At 39.5% G+C, this 24,226-nt stretch overlaps 1 protein-coding gene across 1 annotated transcript, besides 3 other annotated features; it reads left to right on the forward strand.

Moving 5' to 3' along the window:
* Positions 9,410-9,979: an enhancer, noted in NCBI's record as "NANOG-H3K27ac-H3K4me1 hESC enhancer chr10:85898633-85899202 (GRCh37/hg19 assembly coordinates)". NCBI's record gives its function as "activates a minimal SCP1, AML or CMV promoter by ChIP-STARR-seq in primed H9 embryonic stem cells {active_cell/tissue: H9 hESC(primed)}" and the evidence as "EXISTENCE:reporter gene assay evidence [ECO:0000049][PMID:30033119]".
* Positions 9,980-10,549: an enhancer, noted in NCBI's record as "NANOG-H3K27ac-H3K4me1 hESC enhancer chr10:85899203-85899772 (GRCh37/hg19 assembly coordinates)". NCBI's record gives its function as "activates a minimal SCP1, AML or CMV promoter by ChIP-STARR-seq in primed H9 embryonic stem cells {active_cell/tissue: H9 hESC(primed)}" and the evidence as "EXISTENCE:reporter gene assay evidence [ECO:0000049][PMID:30033119]".
* Positions 10,042-24,101, forward strand: GHITM (growth hormone inducible transmembrane protein). Its single transcript, NM_014394.3, has 9 exons — positions 10,042-10,126; positions 11,995-12,162; positions 13,188-13,287; positions 14,528-14,639; positions 15,408-15,549; positions 19,263-19,371; positions 20,588-20,776; positions 21,242-21,413; positions 22,797-24,101. Exons 2-9 carry the CDS (start codon positions 12,034-12,036, stop codon positions 22,879-22,881), a joined length of 1,038 nt encoding a protein of 345 aa, NP_055209.2. The 5' UTR covers positions 10,042-10,126; positions 11,995-12,033; the 3' UTR covers positions 22,882-24,101.
* Positions 10,123-10,322: a silencer, noted in NCBI's record as "silent region_2549". NCBI's record gives its function as "represses an Ori minimal core promoter by ATAC-STARR-seq in GM12878 lymphoblastoid cells {active_cell/tissue: GM12878}" and the evidence as "EXISTENCE:reporter gene assay evidence [ECO:0000049][PMID:35858748]".
* Positions 24,102-24,226: the final 125 nt, after the last annotated feature.

Raw genomic sequence — 24,226 nt, forward strand, 5'->3', positions numbered from 1 at the left:
TATACAAATTTGAAAATGTCCAATCCACCCACCAAACCAGCTTTTACTTTCTCTCATCCTTCTCCCCTCCATTCTGACCCAGACTAGACCTGTGGTCCATCATTGTAATTCCTCCCTTGAAAATCCTTAATTTGGTGGCCCTTTTTGCCCACCAATGCACACACCTAAAAAAGCCCTGTCCCTGGTTAAATAAATAAAGCCATTTAAATTCTTGTAGAGGTGGACAACAGGGGAAGGGCAAGCCTCTGAGACCATCTTAGAAGAGTACACAATATAATAAATGCAAAGTGACCAATGTACTAGTAATGTCTGCCCAGAGTGGAACTCAATCACCCATAACTATGATTAAACTACTCTTTTGGCCTACTTGCGGTACTATTGCTAAAATGGTGTAACCTAATAGCTAACAAACTCATCATTATTATCCTTTTTATTTTTTGTAGAGATGGGGTCTCATTATGTTGCCCAGACTGGCCTTGAACTCCTGGCCTCAAGCAATCCTCCTGCCTCAGCCTCCTGACTATCTAGGGTTAAGGGCATGAGTCACTGCACGCAGCTACTACTATCCATCTTTTAAAGATACTTGCAGGCTGGGCGTGGTGGCTCACGCCTGTAATCCCAGCACTTTGGGAGCCCAAGGTGGGTGGATCACCTGAGGTCAGGAGTTCAAGACCAGCCTGGCCAACATGGTGAAACCTCATCTCTACCAAAAATATAAAAATTAGCCAGTCATGGTGGCAGGCACCTGCAGTCCCACCTACTCAGAAGGCTGAGGCAGGAGAATCACTTGAACCCAGGAGGCAGAGGTTGCAGTGAGCCAACATCGTACCACTGCACTCCAGCTTGGGCTACAGAGCCAGACTCTGTTTCAAAAAAAAAAAAAAAAAAAAAAAAAAAAAAGATCCATGCAGTTCCCACACTTGTGCATCTCTGATCATGTGGCTCAGAACTGAAATGTCCAGATGACAGTGCTTTATTACAAGCACACCCACCATTCCAGTAAATCTAAAGAAGTCTAGTGCTAAAATATATGAAATTTTTTAACTAAAAAGATTTTCATTTTTTTTAAATTATCAGTGTGCTTGACACTTAAAACCGACATATAAGGTAATATAAAATGAGTGCTTTCCACCCATAAGCATTTATGTACTAAAAAGATAAGCAAGGCAAGATGTAAAACATAGAAGTTAAAAATGAAAATAGTGTTGGGGCTGCTATTTGACAAGAACATTTTCAAACATGGCAGGTGAACTTCAACAGGGACTGATACCAAATAATTCACTCTGAAAATAAATATATAATCTATATTTACAGAGTAATGAGCTCAGAACCATCTGTTATAAACCAGTAAGGAAGACATTATAAACTACTGAAATGAGACACTAATTCAATATGATAGAGGGTGGAAAAAGTGAGACATTAACAAAAGCAGACTACAAATAGAATATAAGAAGGTATCCTAGACCACATAGTATCTATAATGTATAAAGATCTATTTTATTCACCTCAAGAAAGATAATTGAATTTATAAAAAGAAAAAACAGAGAGAGGGGTAACTAAAAATCATGAAATGAGACTCTGGTTGTTTAACTCTGAATACCAATAATAAAAGTAATAAATATTAGCAATTATCATGCACGTACTGTATTTAGAAATCTAATCCATGTTATTTCATGTAATCATCATAGGAATCTCATGAGACACATGTTACAGTCTTCATCTTATAGATGATGCATTAGTCTGCTCAGGCCGCTGTAACAAAATACCACAGACTGGGTGATTTAAACAATATACATTTATTTTTCTCACAGTTTGGGAAGCTAGAAGTCCAAGATCAAGGTGCCAGCCAGGTTGGTTCCTGGTGAAAGGTCTTTTCCTGTCTTATAGAAGGCCAACTTCTCACTGTGTCTTCACATGGCAGAGACAGAGAGAGATCTCTGGTTTCTCTTCATCTTCTGATAAGGACACCAGTTCTATTGGATCAACCCCCAACCTTATGATCTCCTTTAACCTTAATTCTATCCTTGGAGACCCCATCTCCAAATTCAGTCACATTGGGGGTTAAGGTTTCAATATATGAGTTGTCTGGGGGACACAATTCAGTCCACAACAGATGAGAAACTTGAGATCTACTCCTCTACCCTACCCTGGTCCCTGGGAGGCTGACCCCTGGGAACTGTATTGTCCTAGCTCCTTCTGTGTTAGAGTTGGGTTCAGCCATCAGGAGGAAATTAGAGGGTGAGAGGTTGAGATATTTATCCCTTTGGTTCCCATCCTGCCATGCCATGGTTGAATGGTGGCTATGGCACCTGTTTGGTGATCCTTCTCCTATACCTCCAATCCCTGCCAGGATCCACTAACTGTTCCCACCCATTGTTCCTCTAGGACCAACATGGTAACGGCTTCCCACTGCTGCTAATTCCAGGGTGCTTTACTATCCGTTCTGTTTCTGTTATCCCAGCATACACATTTGTCAATAGTGATTGTGTTAGACATTCTTCAATCGCCTCTTTTTGATGTACCATCTGTTTCCTACCAGATGCTAATAAAATAAGTGGTACCCAGGAGAAAAACCTTCAAAATAGGATTCTAAAATTGCTCACACATTTGATTAGAGGACAGATCACCTCTTTTGCAGACATGTGGTGCCATCATAATTACCCAAATTGTTACTGGTAGTGACAAGGGATGAAGTGTAGGTCCAGAGAAATTAATTGGGAGATAATTGTGGCATCTAGTTGCCAAGGCAAAAAGGTGGCACCTGTTTGGTAAGGCAGCAGAGGTCATGAGTACATGGCCAAGGAAAACCAAGTGACTTCAGGACCCAGGATCATAAACTGGGTGTTGCCTGATCCTCCAAATCAATAAGATTGGACATTCTCAACATTATTCCTTTGTTAACGGAAACAGTATTTACAGGAACAGTCTCAAGCAGGTTTTGAGGACGCAAATAACTGCTTGGGTAAATGCCTGAGACTCTCATGGTATCTTTTGTTCCTGCTTTGCCACCTTTTTCTCAACCCAAATCTATGATTTCATGGACCTTTTTCTATTACCAGTTAACCTAAGAGCATAAGCATGGGCCTAACCTATAGTTGGGTCTGCATGTTGCTATATTACAGCCCTAACTCAGGGACAGCCTTGAAAGACAGTGATGAAAATAAGTCTTCCCAGTGGGGAAGAAAGAGCTTAGGAGAAAAGACCATTTGAAAGTTCAATTTGCACTAAAGGAGATAGGGACTAAAATACAGGTCTACACTGACTCTTGGACAGTGGCTACAAGATTGGCCAACTGGTAAGAATTTGAAAAAACAAGATTGGCATTAGGTGATCTGGGAGAGAGGTATAAATGGACTTATAAAAACTGGCTCAGAATATGGACATATTTAAGTACCATGTGTATGCCTACTAGAGGACTCTCTCAATAATCAGGTTGATGTGATGTCTTACTGTATCGGTGGTTTTCAAGATGAACTCCAGATTTGAAGATTCACTAGAAGGACTCACAGGATTCGGAAGCCATTATAGTCACAGGTATAGTTTCTACGCAAAAAAAGATACAAAACAGGGCCAGGTGCTGTGGCTCATGCCTGTAATCCCAGCACTTTGGGAGGCCAAGGCAGGTGGATCACAAGGTCAGGAGTTCGAGACCATCCTGGCCAACATGGTGACACCCTATCTCTACTAAAAATACAAAAATGAGCTGGGCGTGGTGGTGCACACCTGTAGTCCCAGCTACTCAGGAGGCTGAGGCAGGAGAATCGCTTGAACTCAGGAGGCAGAGGTTGCAGTGAGCCGAGATCATGCCATTGCACTACAGCCTGGTGACAGAGTGAGACTCCGTGTAAAAAAAAAAAAAAGATACAAAACAGGATCAATAAAGAAAAAAATCCCTCCCTACATAGTTCAGAGTTAGGGTTGGCTGCAAGAGAAACTTGATAAGACTTAGGAGGCAGAAGGAAGGCTGAGTAGGTGATGCTCACCATTGATCATCATTGATCAAGGGCCATAAGGGAAAGACTCAGAGGTGCTAGTGGTTTCCAAGTCATCCCTGCCTGTTCTCGCTCCACATCCAGCTCACCTTCCTGTCAACCTTGATAGCACCAAGTCTTGTCAGTGAATTTTCTCTGATGCATTTTGGATCTTTACTTCCTCAGATCCTGCCACAATTACATAAGGTTTTATTTCTCTCATGTATTCCTTATTTCATAATATTAATAGTCCAAATTCTCTGATTAAATCAAAGCTGATACAGGGATTGTGTTTCCTGACTTTCCAGTTCTTGACTTAAGTCTTTATGGTACCCAGCTGTACTTCCTACCCTTGGAGTTTGAGATATTTCCCAGTAATAAGTGCTTTCTAATCCATTTCAGATTCCAGGCTATAATTTGGTTTCAAATATGCTAGATAGAGATGTCCTCAGATATGTTAGATAGAGATGTCCTAATGTAGTTAGAAATATGATACTGGGGCCAGGCACGGTGGCTCATGCCTGTAATTCCAGCACTTTGGGAGGCCAAGGTGGGCAGATCACCTGGAGTTCAGGAGTTCGAGACCAGCCTGACCAACATGGAGAAACCCCGTCTCTACTAAAAATACAAAAATTAGCTGGGCGTGGTGACACATGCCTGTAACCCTCCCTACTCAGAAAGCTGAGGCAGGAGAGTTGTTTGAACCCAGGAGGTGGAGGTTGCGGTGAGGCGAGATCAGGCCATTGCACTCTAGCCTGGGCAACAAGAACAAAACTCCATCTCAAAAGAAAGAAAAAGGAAAGGAAAGGAAAAGGAAAAGAAAAGGTGATACTGAAGCACAAGGGATATAGTTATGGAATATTTATCAAGAGGTTTTAGGACCCAAGGGAAGATTCTTCCTTCACCCTCTGAAGTTTTGCCGAAAAATAAGATGACAAAAGGCAGATTAATAAAGAGAAAAGACACACAAGTCTGTTAACACGTATGGGGGAAATCACAGAGTGATAACCCCAACCCCACAATGGGGTACAAAAGCTTATACATCATCTCCAGGTTACAGAAAGAATGGGGGCTCAGGGTATGGCCAAAAAGAGATTACGGTGGTAAGTCAGGTTACAGCGGCAAGACAGGTTATGGGAGAGAGAGAAGAGGAGGGTTGGCTAGCAACAGCGATCCTGTTATGCAGATGTAACTTCATAGGTAGTAGCCTTCAGAGAGAAAGATGGTAAATGTTTCTTTCAGACCTTTATGGTGCCGGACTCTCAGTCTTTCCTAGATCAGACAAGAGAAGACCTTCGGAGAATGCAGGACTTTATCAATGCAGACTTTTTCTACAAATGCTAATCTCTCCCACAAAAGACAGCTTTTTAGCTATTATTTTATTTCCAGCCTTTCTGAATAGTCATCTTGAACAATGTCAAGAAAATATATTTGGGGGTGAAATATTTTCATTTCCTTCAAGATCACAAAATCACCTCAAATAACAACTCACTGATAGAGTCATAGAGGGTAACACCAAAAATTTTTCTGATGAGCCTGATATCAGAGTGAATCACAGAAATCCTGTATTCTAGGCCAGTGCTCCTCAGCCTTTTTTTATTATTGCTTCCCTAGGAATTCATTTCAGATGCTTTTGCCTGATTCCCTCCCCCATGACATCTTAATGTCATAGCTTTACTAGCACATGTGCTGTCTGCATATCCATGCATTATATATTAAAAGAGAGATTTTTTTTAATCCCTCAAGCACCAGCTTTTGCCTCCATCGCATGTTCTAGACCCAGATCTACCATTTACCTTGCTATGTTTTTGATATAGTTTGTATATTTGTCCCCACCCAAATCTCATGTTGAACTATAATTCCCGTTATTGGAGGAGGGGCCTGGACAGAAGTGACTGGATCATGGGAGTGGATTTCTCTTGAATGGATTAGCACTATCCCCTTGGTGCTGTCCTTGAGATAGTGAGTTCTCAGGAGATCTGGTCATTTAAAAGTGTTTGGCCCTTCCCCGCCAACTCTCTCTCTCTTGCTCTTCCTTTTGCCATGTGATGTACCTGCCCCTCTTTGCCTTCTGCCATGATTGGAAGCTTCCTGAAGCCTCCCCAGAATCAGATGCCACTATGCTTCCTGTATAGCCTGCAGAATCATGGGCCAATTAAACCTCTTTTCTTATAAAATACCCAGCCTCGGGTATTTCTTTATAGCAGTGCAAGAACAACCTAATACCTTTTTCTTAAGAAAAGCTACTACAATTTCTGAGTGTTGGTTTCCTCTTGGAAGACTGACCAGAAAGCATGACACTAGTCTCAATTTTCTGCCAATATCTGTCCCTCCACAGATACTACCCCACTAATGACCTTGTCCTTTGGCCCACTTACAGCATTTAGTTGCACATATGTGAGGGGTATATATTGTCAGTTAGGTGAATGCAAAATTGAGCTACATTTTTCTTTAAACTGCCATCGATGTCATTTTCAAGGCCCCAGTCAGTTTAGAGCAGACAGCCTATTTATTCCATTTTGCAAGCTCAGAACAGTCTGACAATTTGTCTGTCAGTTTCAGGATTTATTACCATCAGTCACATTGGAGTTCAAAGTCCTTTCTCCTCTCCTGGGCCACAACTGGATTAGAAACATTTACATTAAACAGGAGGGGAAAAAGTGTAGCTTCTCTGTCCTTCCACTCTACCTCTTAGTCATTGCATTGTCATGCAGCTGCCGTTCAGCAAAATCTAAAGGGAGTAGTCCCCATGGCTTCATTGTCTTTCTGTGGCTGGCAGGATATAACTTTTGAAGTTGGCACAGTTTGATCTCTCACCCAAGCAGAGTCAAATGGCTCTGCCTTGTCATACACTAAATGGTCTGTTGGTGCCCATCTGGGCATCTCACCCACACATACTTCTAGTGTCGCCTCACTACTGAGCAGCATCTCGAAGGGTGCAAACAAGCAGGTGCGTGCTCACAATCACATTCTTGTGTTTATCTAGACCTTAGGGATTCCAAGGGAAAACAAGGCCAAGATGGGGAAGATCTTGTAACTTTCCTACCTGCTCTGTTGTCTGCCACTTAGCAACCACATGAGAAGCAGGTGCCAATTGGTCCCTACATTCAGAAACATCTGCAACCTTTCAGGAAGAAGCACCTTCCCTTTGTTGGGAGACTCCATCAGGGAGGGCAGAGGTTAAAGCCCCAGCAAACTCCCTTTCCAACTCTGTTTCATTCATACCACATCTTCTGATGGGAAAGCATAGTAGGGCAAGGTGAGAGCATTTATTTTAACTGAAAGTAAATAAAATATTTTATCTTTTGTCCTGGCTCTGAGTTTTCTCCACTATAATGCAGCATATCTCACTTAGCCAGCAAGTGGAGAATAAGGAATTCATCAGCAGACTGTAATAAAAACCGTGACATATATATAGTATTGGAATTTACGAATCATGTCTTTTCCTTTTTATTTACTTATTTATTCTTTTATTTTTTATTTTTTATTTTTTTGAAGTGGAGTCTCGCTCTGTTGCCCAGGCTGGAATGCAGTGGCACGATCTCGGCTCACTGCAAGCTCCACCTCCTGGGTTCATGCCATTCTCCTGCCTCAGCCTCCCGAGCAGCTGGGACTACAGGTGCCCACCGCCATGCTCTGCTAATTTTTTTTTTTTTTTTTTTTTTTTTTGGTATTTTTAGTAGAGACGGGGTTTCACCATGTTAGCCAGGATGGTCTCAATCTCCTGACCTTGTGATCTACCCGCCTCGGCCTCCCAAAGTGCTGGGATTACAGGCGTGAGCCACCACACACAGCCTACTTATTTATTTTTAAAGACAGCATCACCCTATGTTGCCCAGGCCGGCCTTAAGCTCCTGGGCTACCTCCCCAGTAACTGGGACTACATGCATGTGCCACCATTCCCGGCTTGTCCTTTTCTCTATCCTACACTCTAAGAACTTAGAAGCAGAGAACTTAACAATTAAACACTTCAAACTAAGTTTTATGTATCTACTTCCCCTCACTTGTATCTCTCCCTGTATCCTATTGCTAAATTAATGATAAAATTATCCACCCAGTTCAGAAGGATTACTCAGGGAGCCTTCCTCATTCTTATCAGCTATATTTGACCGACCATTCAATCCTGCAAACTCCACTTCAGCAATATATCTCTGTCATAAACCCCTCTGTGTCTTTCTACTGGCTTAATTCCAGCCTTTATTGCCTTTTGGTTGAACAACTACAATAAATTCCTAATTGGTCTCCTGGTCCATGGAACCTCTCCCTTCCTACACTGCCACAAGAGCATATATTTCCCAATGATATGACCAGATTCCTCCCCTGCTTCAAAATATTTGACCCCTGTGGAAACAACAATACAAGCCCTTTACTTGAGAAAGGAAAATATGAAATCAGACATTTTTCTTCCAATATGGAGAGAATAAGCTTTAATAGGAATCTTGAAGAAAGCTTGAGTCATTGACTTCAAGATCTTTATTCTGGTACTGTGTTGTAAATCCTTTCTCTTTGCTGATAACAGAAGCTCTAGAAAAAAAGACTATCACTGAAGGAGCCAAACAGAAAACCTATTTGCTAGCTAATAAAATTGGGCATAGATCAAAATAAAAATTAAACTGATCATGCTTGATCTGTTCAGTTTCGTGAGATTTCTCTAGTGTTTTCCTGCCATTTTCAGCGTAAAGAGATAAGAATTGTGTTGCTGCCAGACTCTTTTATTATCCACATAGAAGGCAAGTCTTTATATTTGTCAAGGTTTACATGATTAGGAATCATAAATCACAATTAACTACTGCTTAGGAGATAAAGGTTCATGAATTTTGCATGTTGTTAATCACCTTATCACCCTTTCAGGGTTTTAATCTGCTCTTTCTTCATGGTATTAAGTTATCACATTATATTTTTTCTATGTTCTGTCTCTACCAGAAAGTAAAGCCACAGAGCAAGGACTTTATTTTGTTAAAATAGTGGTAGCACACACGGGTTTAATTCATTTGCTGTTTTTTTGTTTTTGTTTTTTTGGTTTCTTTTTTTTTTGAGACTGAGTCTCCCTCTATCGCCCAGGCTGGAGTGCAGTTGCGGGATCTGGGCTCACTGGAACCTCCGCCTCCTGGGTTCAAGTGATTCTCCTGCCTTAGCTTCCCAAGTAGCTTAGATTACAGGCACCAATCACGCCTGGCAAATTTTTGTATTTTTAGTAGAGACAGGGTTTCCCCACGTTGGCCAGGCTGGTCTCGAACTCCTAACCTCAAGTGATCCACCCGCCGCGGCCTCCCAAAGTACTGGGATTACAGGCTTGAGCCACCACGCCCGGCTGATTCATTTGTATATATTTCTAGAACAGAGCTTGGTACGAAGTTGAGCATTCAGTAAATATCTGTTGAAATAGAGGGAGAGTGAAAAAGAAAGTAACTCTCTCGCGTATTCCACAACTAGCTCTTCACCTATCAAATTACGCGCAATGGAAACATCTTAGTCCTCAGAGCAATCCTGGGTGCAAGGCAGAGGCGGCTGTTATCAGGCCTATTACACAGGTTTAGGGTGAAACTTGAAAATGTGGGCGGGAAAGTCACAAAGCAATGAAAAAACCATCTAGAAAAAATCTTTTCTGGATGTCACCATCTAACATTTGGCATGAGACCCCAGAAACCGGATGACTCGGCTCAGAAGCAGACACATTTGAAAAGATATTTATCTCACGATAAATTAAGGGACAAAAAGGCCTTCAAAAAGGAACGGAATAAACGGAATAATTTTTAACTCTAACATTACTTTCTTTCAATTTTTACATAATTCTTATAGCTGCGGCGAGTGAAACGACTAAAACAAAAGCAAAACAGAGCTCCACTGCCCAAAACAAAGATGGCCGAGACGACTCCCATGCCCACACGCAAAATGGACGCTGACTATGACGTTCCCTGCAACAATCCTCAACTGGCCCCGCCCCACCAATTTGGAACCCCGCCTCCTCAACCCGGAACCCCGCCTCCCCCAGTGTGGCCGCTTTTCCGACAGAGGCCTGCCCGTGATTGGCTGCTCGTACTATTTACGTCCTTTCGATGTTGCGTCATGCAGTGCGCCGGAGGAACTGTGCTCTTTGAGGCCGACGCTAGGGGCCCGGAAGGGAAACTGCGAGGCGAAGGTGACCGGGGACCGAGGTACTGCTCCGGCTGGCCGGCGGGCGCCCGGGATCCCCGGTGGTCCTGACAGCCGCCCTCACGGGACCGCTGGGTGCGGGGGGAAGGGCTGGAAGCAGCGGTGCTGCTGGCTGCGTCAGGGCCGGCCTGCGCGTTGGGGTCGCAGTCCTGTGGGTGACCTGGTGGAGAGGGCGGCGGCACAAGGCCCTGGTCAGGCGGGCAAGGGCTCAGTGTAGCTGTGCTTCTGTCCTCGGGCAACAAGGTGCTGAGTCATCCTTGCGGCGAGGCCGTACAGCCGCTGCGCTGGTAGCGGCACCTGGGGCAGGGGCAGAGGTGTTGTGGGTTGACAGGGAAGTTTGCTGCCGGGTTCTCATCTGAATCTAGCGGGCTGGGTGAACTTTCTCGGGGACCAGGCACCCAAACTCATCAATGCTCACGGAGGCATAAGCCCTTGGATTAGGGTCGGTAGTATTTTCCCCATTTTATAGCAACGACATCTGAGTCTTAGAGATCCACACTCCTCACAAGGTCACTTCTAACCTGTCAGAAGCGGGATTCCCACTCTGGGCTGTTACGCCACATGGAGGTCACTCTGAGCTGGACCTCTTCGGCCCCAACCAGTGGACTGAGTACTGAGGAAGATACAGGACAGCCATAGGTTGAGATGATGTAATGGCACGAAAGTTCCAAAAGCGCTGGGTGTTTTCCCAAAGGCCGGGTGCCGAATTTTAAGACCCTTAATAGTTCAGTTGCAGAGCTCGGAGGACGCTCGGGTATCTTAAAGCAATAGTTCTTAGCTTTTGGAGTGTTCGTTAAAACACACGTTCTTGGTCTTATTCCTAGGGGTAGAATCATTAGGAGCAAAGAAAGACCCAGGAGCCTACATTTTAAGATGCATCCGGGGCACTTTCAAGCAGGTAGTCTAAGGGTCAACGCTGTAGTCTGAACACGGAATCCTTATGTTACAGATGGGGAAATGGGCCCAGAAGTATATCACTTGCCTAGAATTCACTACAAATCATTGGCAGAGATGGGCTGGTAGCCCCAGTTGGTTTACACTCGTCATTTCATTCTGACCTATTGTAGTCACCTCACCTTAGCATTACAGAAACACTGTCTGCTGACTTCTGGTTGACCACCCATCTAGTATAATGTGCCCTGGAGCTAAGATAATCCAGTTTTTAGCATGCTTTTCTTTTGAAGACACCATCGAGGGAGTCTAATGTAAGGGAAACCTGGTTGGTAACTGAGTTTACTTGTTTACTTTGAAAGACTAAATGTCCTTTACGCATTATAGTAGGACATATAGAATAGGTTAACTTAGAATATTTTTATATCTCATGTTGAAGGAAAGTAATATTTGGTATGATTAGCTGAAATTCATATAGTTGGCTTCTTTTAATACCTTTTAGCTTTGTAATGCAGTATAACCTTGAAGAGCTATTCATGTCTTCTTTGGATGACACTATTCCTTTGCCCAAAAGTTATGTAGATTCTTTTAAATTTTCCCACTGGATGCTGGTATAAATCTTAAGCCAAAACTACATTTGTAAAAACCATCACAGACTCTGTAATCACGTCCAGTTATTAACAGCCGTTCTGTGTTACACATAATTTTTGCAGTCATCTATTTTGATTGGTCAAACTGGGACTTAAACCTAGTTTGTTCCTCCATCTTCAGCTGTGTTCTCTGGGATGGGTTTCTTGCATTACAGTGGATGGTTGGGCAAAGAATTCATCGCTGAAAATTAAAAAGGTCGCTTTATTTCCTGTTCTACTAAAAAATAGTTTGTTCCTTGACTCTGACTCTCATATGTCCTTCTCTTAATTGGTTAGTAGGTTGTTTTACTTATGTTTTTTTGGTTGGTTTTGCCTTTTTTTTAAACTAGCATTTCAGATCTGCTCGGTAGACCTGGTGCACCACCACCATGTTGGCTGCAAGGCTGGTGTGTCTCCGGACACTACCTTCTAGGGTTTTCCACCCAGCTTTCACCAAGGCCTCCCCTGTTGTGAAGAATTCCATCACGAAGAATCAATGGCTGTTAACACCTAGCAGGGTAAAGATAATCTGAATGTTTTTATATTGCTTCTTTTTCCATTTGTGCCCTTTCTTTTTGGCAGAGTATGGCTGCTCTGCCTTTAGTGTGTTATACGTCAGTTAGCCCTGATAATATCCCCAATCAGCTCTTTCTCCCCATTAGTTTGTATCATTCTGGTCCCTCCTTATCCCATATGAAATAGAAAATGAGTTTCTGTAACTCTGTCTTCGCTTACAGCTTCTGGAGTTTCTCATTTAGAAAATTTAGAGTACATTGTGAGGGATTGAGAGTTACATAGTGTAACGGAGATCCTGGAGCACATAGTCAGAAGTTTAAGAACCCAGGGATATTACCAGTTGGCCAATAGCTTATTAATAAATTACTAAATATATTATCTCTTATTTAGAGGTTGATAATATCTGTCAGGTTAGAAAGAAACCCATTTTTATAATAGATTTATCTTCTGGCATTCAGATTATAAGGTTTGAAGTGTGAGGTAATGAGGACAATATAAAGAAGCTAGGAGACATTTTCTCTTTTAAATTAACTGTTCCACTGTTGAAAAAGAGCCACAATGGAAGTAGTAGTCTTCCCTCTTCTTGGCTTCATGTTAAGGAAAGATGCTGTTCTTGAGTCCATATCCCAGATGACAAAATATAGCTAATAATGCTTGTAGAATGCATATCTTAAAAATGCTAACAGATTCTCACCCTGGTATTTGGTTAGGATTTAAAATATAACAATTCTAGGTATGTAAATCTATAGTTTGTGAAAGAAACAATTTTTCTGAAATTGAAACTAAGAATAATATAATGAATTACTAACTTCCAAAGGTGGAGCACAGGGAAGGTCTACATTTATTTATTTATTTTTACATTTAGTTTTTTAAGTTGGCTAATAAATTTCCATAGTGAAGTTAGGTATATAGAAAGTACCAAGTTTCTTTAACTAGAGTTTTCTAGTGTAAAGGGATCTTGCATTTTATTTTATTAACGTTCTGTTTTCATGTGGGTGGTACGTGTCTTTGTTTGCATGTGTGTCAGGAATATGCCACCAAAACAAGAATTGGGATCCGGCGTGGGAGAACTGGCCAAGAACTCAAAGAGGCAGCATTGGAACCATCGATGGAAAAAATATTTAAAAGTAGGTGGCTATCTTTAGTTTTTAACCTAGAATCTATGGATATGTTTTAAGAGGTCCATGAACAACTTCCTAAAAATATATGTGTATTTGTGCATTTTCTGGGAAGACCACATTATTATTCTGAGATCTGACGACCCAGAAAAGATTGGTACTTTGCACTGGATTCAGTGGTTATCAATCATATTTCTTCCAGTGGAAATTTTACTTTCCTTTTTTTTAAAGAAAAGGATTATTAATATGCCATGGTCCAAAAGGTATACTCTGTTGAGAAAGTTCATTTTAAGTGTGTAGAATCCTCATTCAAGCATATAATATTTGTGTATGTTTCAGATTAAGAATAAATCACCAACACATAGATGTTAATAAAAGCCTAGCTGTCCAAGAAGAATCCTTTAACTCACTGCTCACATAGGGCCTCAGGAGGGCAGTACTTTAATATATTGCCAGTTTGGTTCAGTTTGGATATCAACTTTGCAAGTTCAGAAACTAGATTGTTAATCATCCTAAAGCTATTCAAAGAATACCACTGCTCCTTAATAATCTTGCAAAATGTCTTTACAGTGGGAGAGAGCCCTAATCAGTATCCTTCAGGTCATTTCTTTCTGATTTGACCCTAGAGACCAAATCATGCAAATTATGTAGTGACAGCCTAGTAATATTCTTAGTAAACGAATTAGACTAAAAGAATAAGATGCCCTTTATGAATACCTCTATTGAGTTAGAGTTGATTAGTTGCCTCTCAGTACCCTAAAACGGGAGCCTCCTCTCACTTGATTCTGCTGCATAAACACTGATTATATTTTCTCTTTTTTCTTGATTTCCACGTAAAGCATCATTTGTGTTAATACCATGCAGTATGGTATGACTGTTAACATTTCCTTCTCATTTTTTACTTTCCATGAATGTCATGTGAATATACTTCAACCTCTTATTAGTAAAATAATAGGTATCACAGAAGTAGCTCCACGTCTACAGGTATACTGCTCCCTCAAATATTGTTGGAGGGAGGTTGAAGATTCACCAAGCCTGATCCTTTCTTTTTTGTACTGATTTTTACACCTTTGTTTCAGGAGTGTTTTTTTCTACTGGTTACCTAACATTGAGGCAATTTCTGTACCCCATATGCACTGATTATGGCTTCTATTAAATATGGTACATGATTTGATTCCCTTGATAAATATTTTAAAGGCTTTGTCCAGATGTGCCAGTACTAACCTGCATTTCCTTCTGTGTTCTGCAGTTGATCAGATGGGAAGATGGTTTGTTGCTGGAGGGGCTGCTGTTGGTCTTGGAGCATTGTGCTACTATGGCTTGGGACTGTCTAATGAGATTGGAGCTATTGAAAAGGCTGTGTAAGTAAATTGTTTTAAGTAAACTGTTCCTAAACAACTCCAGCCTTAAAACAAAAATTCAAATTTTCTTCTCATTCCTATCTTTAGTCACTTTGGAATGTTTTGTGTCTAGTCTTTGTGTATACACACAAATAGAGAATCTCTTTTTGCTTCTTTGACATTTATTTATTCAAATCTAAATAAAAATCTTTTAGCAAGGTTATATGTGTTTAAGCAAAGAGAAAATATGAAATATGTTTTTTGTTTGTTTGTTTGTTTGTTTTTTTGGAGAGAGAGTCTTGCTCTATCTCCCAGGCTGGGGTGCAGTGGCGCGATCTTGGCTCACTGCAACCTCCGCCTCCTGGGTTCAGGCAATTCTCCTGCCTCAGGCTCCTGTAGGTGGGATTACAGGCACATGCCACCATGCCCGGCTATTTTTTGTATTTTTAGTAGAGACGGGGTTTCACCATTTTGGCCAGGCTGGTCTCGATCTCCTGACCTCAGGTGATCCACCCACCTCAGCCTCCCAAAGTGCTGGGATTACAGGCATGAGCCACCGCACCCAGCCAAAAATATGTTGTTTTTTATATGTGCTTGTATGTTTTATCTCATTTAGTCCTTACAGTAACTCCCAAGTATGCATAATTATCATAATTATTTCCATGATAAATGAAGTGAATAAGATTTAAAGTGTAAAATGATTTATCCCGAGGTCGCCCAGCTAGTGTGTGACTCAACCAGAAATCAAATCTGTAATTTCATAGATTAATCATGTCATGTTTCTTACAGAATTTGGCCTCAGTATGTCAAGGATAGAATTCATTCCACCTATATGTACTTAGCAGGGAGTATTGGTTTAACAGCTTTGTCTGCCATAGCAATCAGCAGAACGCCTGTTCTCATGAACTTCATGATGAGAGGCTCTTGGGTGGTAAGTCAGCTGTTTTTGTTTTCCTTTTTCATCTAAAGATCAAAAGATTAGATAAAATATATTGGAGGGAAGGGTTATTAAATGGAAAGAATACTGTATTGAACAAGTTTTTGTTCAAATAATGTATGAATTACAGGTTGAGCATCCCTAATTTAAAATCCAGAAATGCTCCAAAATCCAAAACATTTGTAGTGTCAACATGATGCTCAAAGAAAATTGTAGCATTTCACATGTTGGGTTTTTGAATTAGGGATCCTGAACCCTAACAACAATGAAGTGTAATGATAAATAGTCCGAAATCTGAAGTCTGAAACACTTCTGGTCCCAGACATTTCTGATGAGAGTTACTCAACCTGTATTAGTGCAGCTGAGATAAAAGTAGGAAGTTCATTCTAGGTAGGTCAGCTATTATTCTTTATTAAACATGTATTCGAATAATACCAGAGGAGTTAGAAATCAAACTTACAGAGACAACATTTTTGTCTAGCAGCAGATATCAGACAGCCTCTAATTTGTAGCAGTTTACTAAAAAAATAAAGCAAATGCAAAATCATCTTAGAAGTCAGAGGGAAATGCCTATGCAGTTAAGAGCAGAATAGTGCTGCTACTATTATTCCTAAGATTCTTGACCTTATAGAAGATTTTATATTTAATCGGTTTCTCTGGAGCCCTTGTTATTTTGCTAGATAAGAGAATTTGAATATGTGTCCCCTATTCTCCTGCTATTTGGTAGAAGAGATGAACTGGAATAAGTGGCACAGATACGCAATAAGAAAGTGCAAAGTCAGTTGAGAGTTTCTGTCTTGGACTGTTAGGCAAGTTCCGTGAAGGAGACATTTATTTCATCAGGGTTGTTGAAGGCTAACATGTCTCATTTATTTTAGAAGTAGACAAGAGGGCCAGGTGCAGTGGCTCACACCTGTAATCTCAGCGTTTTAGGAGGCTGAGGCAGGAAGATTGCTTGAGCCCAGGAATTTGAGACCAACCTGAGCAACATAGTGAGACACTGTCTGTAATTTTTAAAGAAATAGAAAATTTTAAAAATTAAAAAAAAATTTTTTTAAGTAGACAAGGGCGGTCCAATTTTACCAAACAGTTTAAGGGAAGAGGAGGTAGGAAAACCTAATTTCAGAGGTGACTTACAATCCCATTAGAGGGAAATTCAAGTGTTTGAGGTCTGGAGGGTAAAGAAGACGTGGTTAGAAAGGATACAGTTGTCAAGCTGAGGAGAGAACCTAAGCAGTCGGAGGCCATTGGAGATACTGGAACAACAAAAGCGTGATTTATATTTGAGTTTTTAGAACCAATGTGGAAGAGACATGGAGCAGGTGTACCAGCTGTGCCTTTGTAAGATCTGAAATGAGGGATGATAAGAACCTGAACTAGAGCAGAGTGTGATACTGGAGGGGAAGGAGAGTTCATGTAACACTGATTCCCCACATAGGGACGAAAACCATATTATTTTCACTGTGTTGTACTTTACTAAAGGATAACCATTTACAGTAGCAGCCATTTGGATATTTATATATTCTTAGGATCATGCTTTTTCACATAGACGTCATGAATCTCCCAGCCCAGAGGTTCACAAAGGCACAGAATGTTTCACTGGGGATGTCAGTTTTAATCAGAAGCAAATAATTTAAAACAATACTTTTGTAATAAACATGACAATATTTACCTAAAATTTTAGGCCCTAAAATGAGGCTTCAAAGAAGTTTTGTGTTTGGGCCATATCCTCAGTCCCTTCTGGGCAAAAGATTACCCTCTTCCACTGTTAGTAATACAGAAAATAGGAAAGCCAAAGACAAGTGTTACAGAGATGAAGATGTAACCTTTTGGGTGTGACAGACATATATATACAAACACACACATAGACACACAGATAATGTCAAAGTTTGTCCCAAGTGCATCTGAGGAGAGGTATCTGATCTTGCTCTTGGGCAGCCAGGGTACCTACTAGAAAAAGCTTTTGAGATGAGACAGTACCAGAGTAAGTCGACCAGATATGGAAGGAGATATTCTTAGGCATGATGGATTGAATTAAGGAGGCCTGAAATTTTGGGGCATGTTGGCAGCTGTGCCAGTTCCGTATGGTTGGAATGCAGAGTTTGGAGTGAGACTGGATCATAGAAGATCTTAAAAAAATTTAATTGCTGCTGTCCACAGAGGATGTGTGAAATAGTTTGTAGTAATTATTTCTCGTTAGAAAATGGTGGAGTGGAGCTCGATATGCTTTTCTTTTCTTTTTAATGTTTTTTAAAAATAGAGACTAGATCTCTATGTTTGCCTAGGCTTGGCTTAAATTCCCAGGCTCAAGTGGTCCTTTCACCTCAGCCACCCAAGTAACTGACATTACAGGTCCATACCACTACACCCAGCTCAGTATGCTTTTTCATGTTAAGGTTTTCCCATTCTTGGCAAAACCAGCTATTTGGTTTACCTGTACTTTATATTAGAGGTTGAATATTTTGATGTTCATAGGTGAGACAGATAATACAGATGAGTGAGGAGGCCTAGTGTGTCACACAGGAGATTGTTGACATCTAGAGGTTACTGACATCTAGAGTTAACCTTTTCAACTAAAACCATTCACCATGTTCTTTTTTTTTGTTTGTTTTTTTAAACATAGTTTGCCAAACAAAACATCTGTGGCCTGATTCCAAGGGCTACAAGTTTGCAATCTCTGATTTAAATTTCTTGGAGATTAGCACCATCTTATTTCCATTACATGTTAATACATTCTTCTTGTCATACACAAGCAATATTTAATTATAACACTGGAAATCTAAGATAGGCAAAGAAAAGGAATGAGGACCAAATTAGCCATAAACCTGGAAGGGTAGAAGTGTAGAATCTTATTTCTCATTTTTCTTTTCCATGTGCTGTGATAATCTACTTTCTATTTTTCAAGTCTTCATTTAGCAAATATGGAGTTCAAAGTGATGTGCTATATATATTTTTTTTAAAAATTACTAATTTGTAAGCATCACTGATTTTAAAGAAAATGCTATTTGTGCTATACAAAAATATATTTTTTAATTAAGAGTTAATTATCTTGGGATCCCTAAAGGGTTTTTGTTTCACCTCTGTCCAACAAGAGTAAAATTGTTAAAAGATGTGTTGCCAGTTCAAGCTTAAGACATGCATTTGAAGCTGTCTGCAAAACCTCATATATGGCAGTAGGGGGCACTCGTGCTAACTTAGCCAAAACTCTGAAATAAACCCAGAGCTTTTAATGTGCCAGAAAAATTAAAGTTTTTATTTTTTATTTTTTATTTTTTATTTTTTTATTTTGAGATGGAGTCTCGCTCTGTCACCCAGGCTAGAGTGCAGTGGCACGATCTTGCCTCATTGCAACCTCCACCTCCCGGGTTCAAGTGATTTTCCCACCTCACTCAGCCTCCCAAGTAGCTGGGACTACAGGCGCGCACCACTGCGCCTGGCTAATTTTTGTATTTGTAGTAGAGACAGGGTTTCACCAGTTAGCCAGGCTGGTCTCAAACTTCTGACCTCAGGTGATCCACCTGCCCCAGCCTCCCAAAGTGCTGGGATTGCAGGCGTGAGCCACCACGCCTGGCCTTAAGCTTTGATTTATTATCTTTAATATTTTTACAACTAGTTTATTAGAAGTAACTAATTGTACTTCAAACCTGTGGGTTTCTGCTTTGTTTTCATATAAAGATCAGTTTTTCTTAATAGTACTTGTCTTTCAGACAATTGGTGTGACCTTTGCAGCCATGGTTGGAGCTGGAATGCTGGTACGATCAATACCATATGACCAGAGCCCAGGCCCAAAGCATCTTGCTTGGTTGCTACATTCTGGTATGTTCTGTTTTAAATTGTTACGAGACAACCTTGACTACCACCTTTTTTGGGTGGCTCTTCACAGTTGTAAATGACCTACATGGAATTTAAGCCTCATGTTTAGAAAACACCATTTTCTTCAGTCATTACTGGCTGCATTATTGCCAGACCTTTGCTTTGAAAAGTTGATTTTGCTAAGACCATGGACATCTTCAATACGAAACTTGTATCTTCTGACAGTCTAGTATATGCAGAGATTTACTTTTGTGTATTTTGTTCGATACCAGGAGGGTTTTATATCTAGTACGCATCATTTGAGAGTTGTTTTTGTCTGGTATGTTTAGAAAAATTAAAAACTGAGGATAGAGAAAGTTGTGCTAAAAATGTTGCTGCGAAATAACAAAAAACTGAGAGGAGTCCTAATAGAAGTGTTCTGTGTAGAAATTTCACCCACTGTTTTGCCTAGAGCAAAAAGTATTTTTAAATTATTCATCATCATGAGATAGTATACCTTATTAACCATATAACTTGATCTAGAAATGTTATTCTTTAAGCTAGTATTGAAAATTCAGTATAAAGATAGCTTTGTGCCTAGTCTATGAGGTAAACGACATTTAAGAAAAAGGTAACTTATTCTTCTTAGCACTGAAATAATGCATTATCTAAGTTTTTTTTCAATTAAGGAGTTCCATTTACCTTTGTTGAATTACTGGTAAATTTTTTACGAAATTGTTTATAAATATCTGACAACTAAAATTACTTATTTATAAGCTGTTAGCAGTCCTTATTACATAAAGAAACAGCAGTGTCTGTCTTAGAAGTTCCCACATTTTAAGTTTATCATCATATGCTTTCCCTTTTGACAGCAGTAGGTTTGACCTTGAGTTATTTGTTTTAAGCTTGTTTATCTCAATTATTATATGAATGTTGTAGAAACTAGTGGTAAGCTCAGATTCAAATAGCTACATGGAATTTGATGGTTACTAAATAAGTAGATTAGTGTTTGCTTGTGAGTGTGATTGATTAGGAATAGTGTTAATGTTGTGATATAGAATTTGAGTAGTCACCAATTTGGGCTGTAGAATTTGGTGGGGGTAGTATTATCTAAAGGCAGAACTTTTTGAATCATAGTGCTTAAACAGTAAGGTATAATATAAAGTGGCATGTTAGAAGTGATATTTTCCTTTTGCTTGTTATTTAGTAAATACTTAATGAGCACTTCCTCTTTCTCCAGGTGTGATGGGTGCAGTGGTGGCTCCTCTGACAATATTAGGGGGTCCTCTTCTCATCAGAGCTGCATGGTACACAGCTGGCATTGTGGGAGGCCTCTCCACTGTGGCCATGTGTGCGCCCAGTGAAAAGTTTCTGAACATGGGTGCACCCCTGGGAGTGGGCCTGGGTCTCGTCTTTGTGTCCTCATTGGGTAAGCTGCTGTGTTTTAACACTTAATTCTTGGTGCATAGTTTCCTGTAACCTGAAATACTCCAATATCCTAATTGATTGAGTCATTTATTTTAAAAGTTTTTTTAAAGATTTATGCTAATTTGACTGGATTTTACTACCTGACATCATATAAAAATCATGGCAACATGGTCAACCATTATTACTGGCTTTACCAAACACATCTAAAATGGGAAAGTTGGTCTGGAGAACATGAATATTGCTCTGATGCAAGAACCTTCCTGTGAAATGGGCAAGTGGCTCATTGGAGGAATGAGTATCATGGATTTTGAACTAATGCAAATAAGATTAGACAGTACATGTACCCAGATGTCGTCTTACCTACACAGTATACCAAGGAGATTTTTTTTTAAGTAATATAAATCATAAACTCAGTTATCGGAAATCCTTTTTTAAAAAAAATCTTGTTTTCGCATTTTGATTTCAGGATCTATGTTTCTTCCACCTACCACCGTGGCTGGTGCCACTCTTTACTCAGTGGCAATGTACGGTGGATTAGTTCTTTTCAGCATGTTCCTTCTGTATGATACCCAGAAAGTAATCAAGCGTGCAGAAGTATCACCAATGTATGGAGTTCAAAAATATGATCCCATTAACTCGTAAGTAATGCTTTTTATTTAACACTGTTACTCTGTCACATAAGGATGCTTGTGTGTATTTGACCTGTTTTGGTTTATGGCTGTATTAGTTTTCTAGGGATACTGTTAACAAAGTATCGCAGACTGGGTGGCTTAAAACAAAACTTGATTCTCTTGTAGTTCTGGAGGCCAGAAATCTAAAATCAAGGTGTTAGCAGAGTTGTACTTCTGAGGGCCCTGAGGGAAAATCTGTTCCCTGCCTCTCAGCTTCTTGTTACTGCTGGCAGTCCTTGACATTCCTTGGCTTGTAGATGGATCATTCCAGTCTCTGTCTCCATCTTCACATGGTGCTCTTCCTGTGTACCAGGGATTAGGATTTCATTATATTTTGTTGGGGGGCAGAGGAGGGTCACAGCTCAAACCACACCAATGGCTTTGTCAGATTTCCTGTTTTACTTCTGTTGCAGTTTTGTCTGTTCTCTCTTTAGTAAACTATCCAAAAAAACCTCTTGATTTTATTGCAACTTAGTGTAATACTTAGGTATTCATTCCATTATCAGAATATTTTGTCTATTTTTGTGAGCCAGTGTCAGGGTGCAATAAATAATGTGCTCTTACTGCTCAGTTAATTTTTTTGGTAGTGTATTTTGCAGACTTTAAAACTGAAGAAATGTATTAATCAAGTATTATTTATTGGAAAATGTATATAATTGACATGGAATTTTTAATAGAAAAGCCTATTTTATACTTCTAGAAATTAGAAACTCTTCAGTATAAAGAGTCTAGTTTCAGAGATATGCAACTTTAGTTGGTATTAATTGTTATTATGTTTTTTTCTTTTTTCTTGGAGTCGACCAAAGTGGGTTATTTTATTTAAACAATTTTCTTGAGTTTCATTGTGTCTGTCACATTTTTTTAAAGTAATTTGATTTTATCTAAAAATAAAACTTAATGTAATGGTTTAGGGGGAAGAAAAAGTTGCTGTACTGTAAAGCTTACAGATTTGTAGAAGTTTTCTTTAGAGGGGTGAAGTGGGTCTTTTATATTAAAAAATGCTAGACTTGTGTCTAACAGGTTTTTATAAAGGTGTTTCTTTGGTCTTGTTTTGATTATTTCATTGTCTGCCACCTAGTTTTCTTTGCAAGTTGATATATGCAGAGTGTCAGAGAATAAAATAATGATTTTTTTAAACTGCTCTTTAACATTTAAAAGATGAGTCTGCCAAAAGGAAGACCTTAACTATTTTCTAGTCTAGTACTTCATTAGTTGGCAGTTAAACATCTTATTTTTAATTTCCATTTTATATCACTAAGACAAATAGTATTTTTCTTCTTTTCTATATTAAGAATTCAACATCACTATTAGAATTGCATCATATATAATGGGCATAATTTTCTTTTCTAGGATGCTGAGTATCTACATGGATACATTAAATATATTTATGCGAGTTGCAACTATGCTGGCAACTGGAGGCAACAGAAAGAAATGAAGTGACTCAGCTTCTGGCTTCTCTGCTACATCAAATATCTTGTTTAATGGGGCAGATATGCATTAAATAGTTTGTACAAGCAGCTTTCGTTGAAGTTTAGAAGATAAGAAACATGTCATCATATTTAAATGTTCCGGTAATGTGATGCCTCAGGTCTGCCTTTTTTTCTGGAGAATAAATGCAGTAATCCTCTCCCAAATAAGCACACACATTTTCAATTCTCATGTTTGAGTGATTTTAAAATGTTTTGGTGAATGTGAAAACTAAAGTTTGTGTCATGAGAATGTAAGTCTTTTTTCTACTTTAAAATTTAGTAGGTTCACTGAGTAACTAAAATTTAGCAAACCTGTGTTTGCATATTTTTTTGGAGTGCAGAATATTGTAATTAATGTCATAAGTGATTTGGAGCTTTGGTAAAGGGACCAGAGAGAAGGAGTCACCTGCAGTCTTTTGTTTTTTTAAATACTTAGAACTTAGCACTTGTGTTATTGATTAGTGAGGAGCCAGTAAGAAACATCTGGGTATTTGGAAACAAGTGGTCATTGTTACATTCATCTGCTGAACTTAACAAAACTGTTCATCCTGAAACAGGCACAGGTGATGCATTCTCCTGCTGTTGCTTCTCAGTGCTCTCTTTCCAATATAGATGTGGTCATGTTTGACTTGTACAGAATGTTAATCATACAGAGAATCCTTGATGGAATTATATATGTGTGTTTTACTTTTGAATGTTACAAAAGGAAATAACTTTAAAACTATTCTCAAGAGAAAATATTCAAAGCATGAAATATGTTGCTTTTTCCAGAATACAAACAGTATACTCATGATTGCTAAGTGTTTTTTTATTTTTGCATATTTATTGAACTGTCTAATTGAATACAGCTTGCTCTTGTCACCTCTTCAAGCTTTCAAGCCTTTATAGAAAAGCTTCTTTGTGGCTTACACTGGAAATTATGAAAGCAGTTTTTCTCCTAAGACTTTTGGTTTCTCGCATTGCCTCTCAGACTAAGCACTAAAAAGCAAAGCAAAACAGAACTAGTTCTGTCTTAATGAAATATATCAACCCAAAAGTGTAATGAGGAAAATGCTTCATTAGTTTCCCCTAGCAGACTTTTACTTCTCTTACACTGCTACACCATTACTTTCTTGAGACATTTGTAAGTTCTTTGATACAGAAGAGTTATATTTAGAAGTCTTTAATGAAGGGAAAGAAGTCTGTATGATGACTGAGGTGATTGCTCTTTTTGACAAATGTTTATTACAGTAATGCAGAAATACTGTTAATCATCTCAAAGTACATAGGAGGCTTATTTCTGAAACAAAGGTTTCAGCCAGATGTTGATTA

Source organism: Homo sapiens, chromosome 10 (assembly GCF_000001405.40).
Source record: "Homo sapiens chromosome 10, GRCh38.p14 Primary Assembly".
Taxonomy (NCBI): domain Eukaryota; kingdom Metazoa; phylum Chordata; class Mammalia; order Primates; family Hominidae; genus Homo; species Homo sapiens.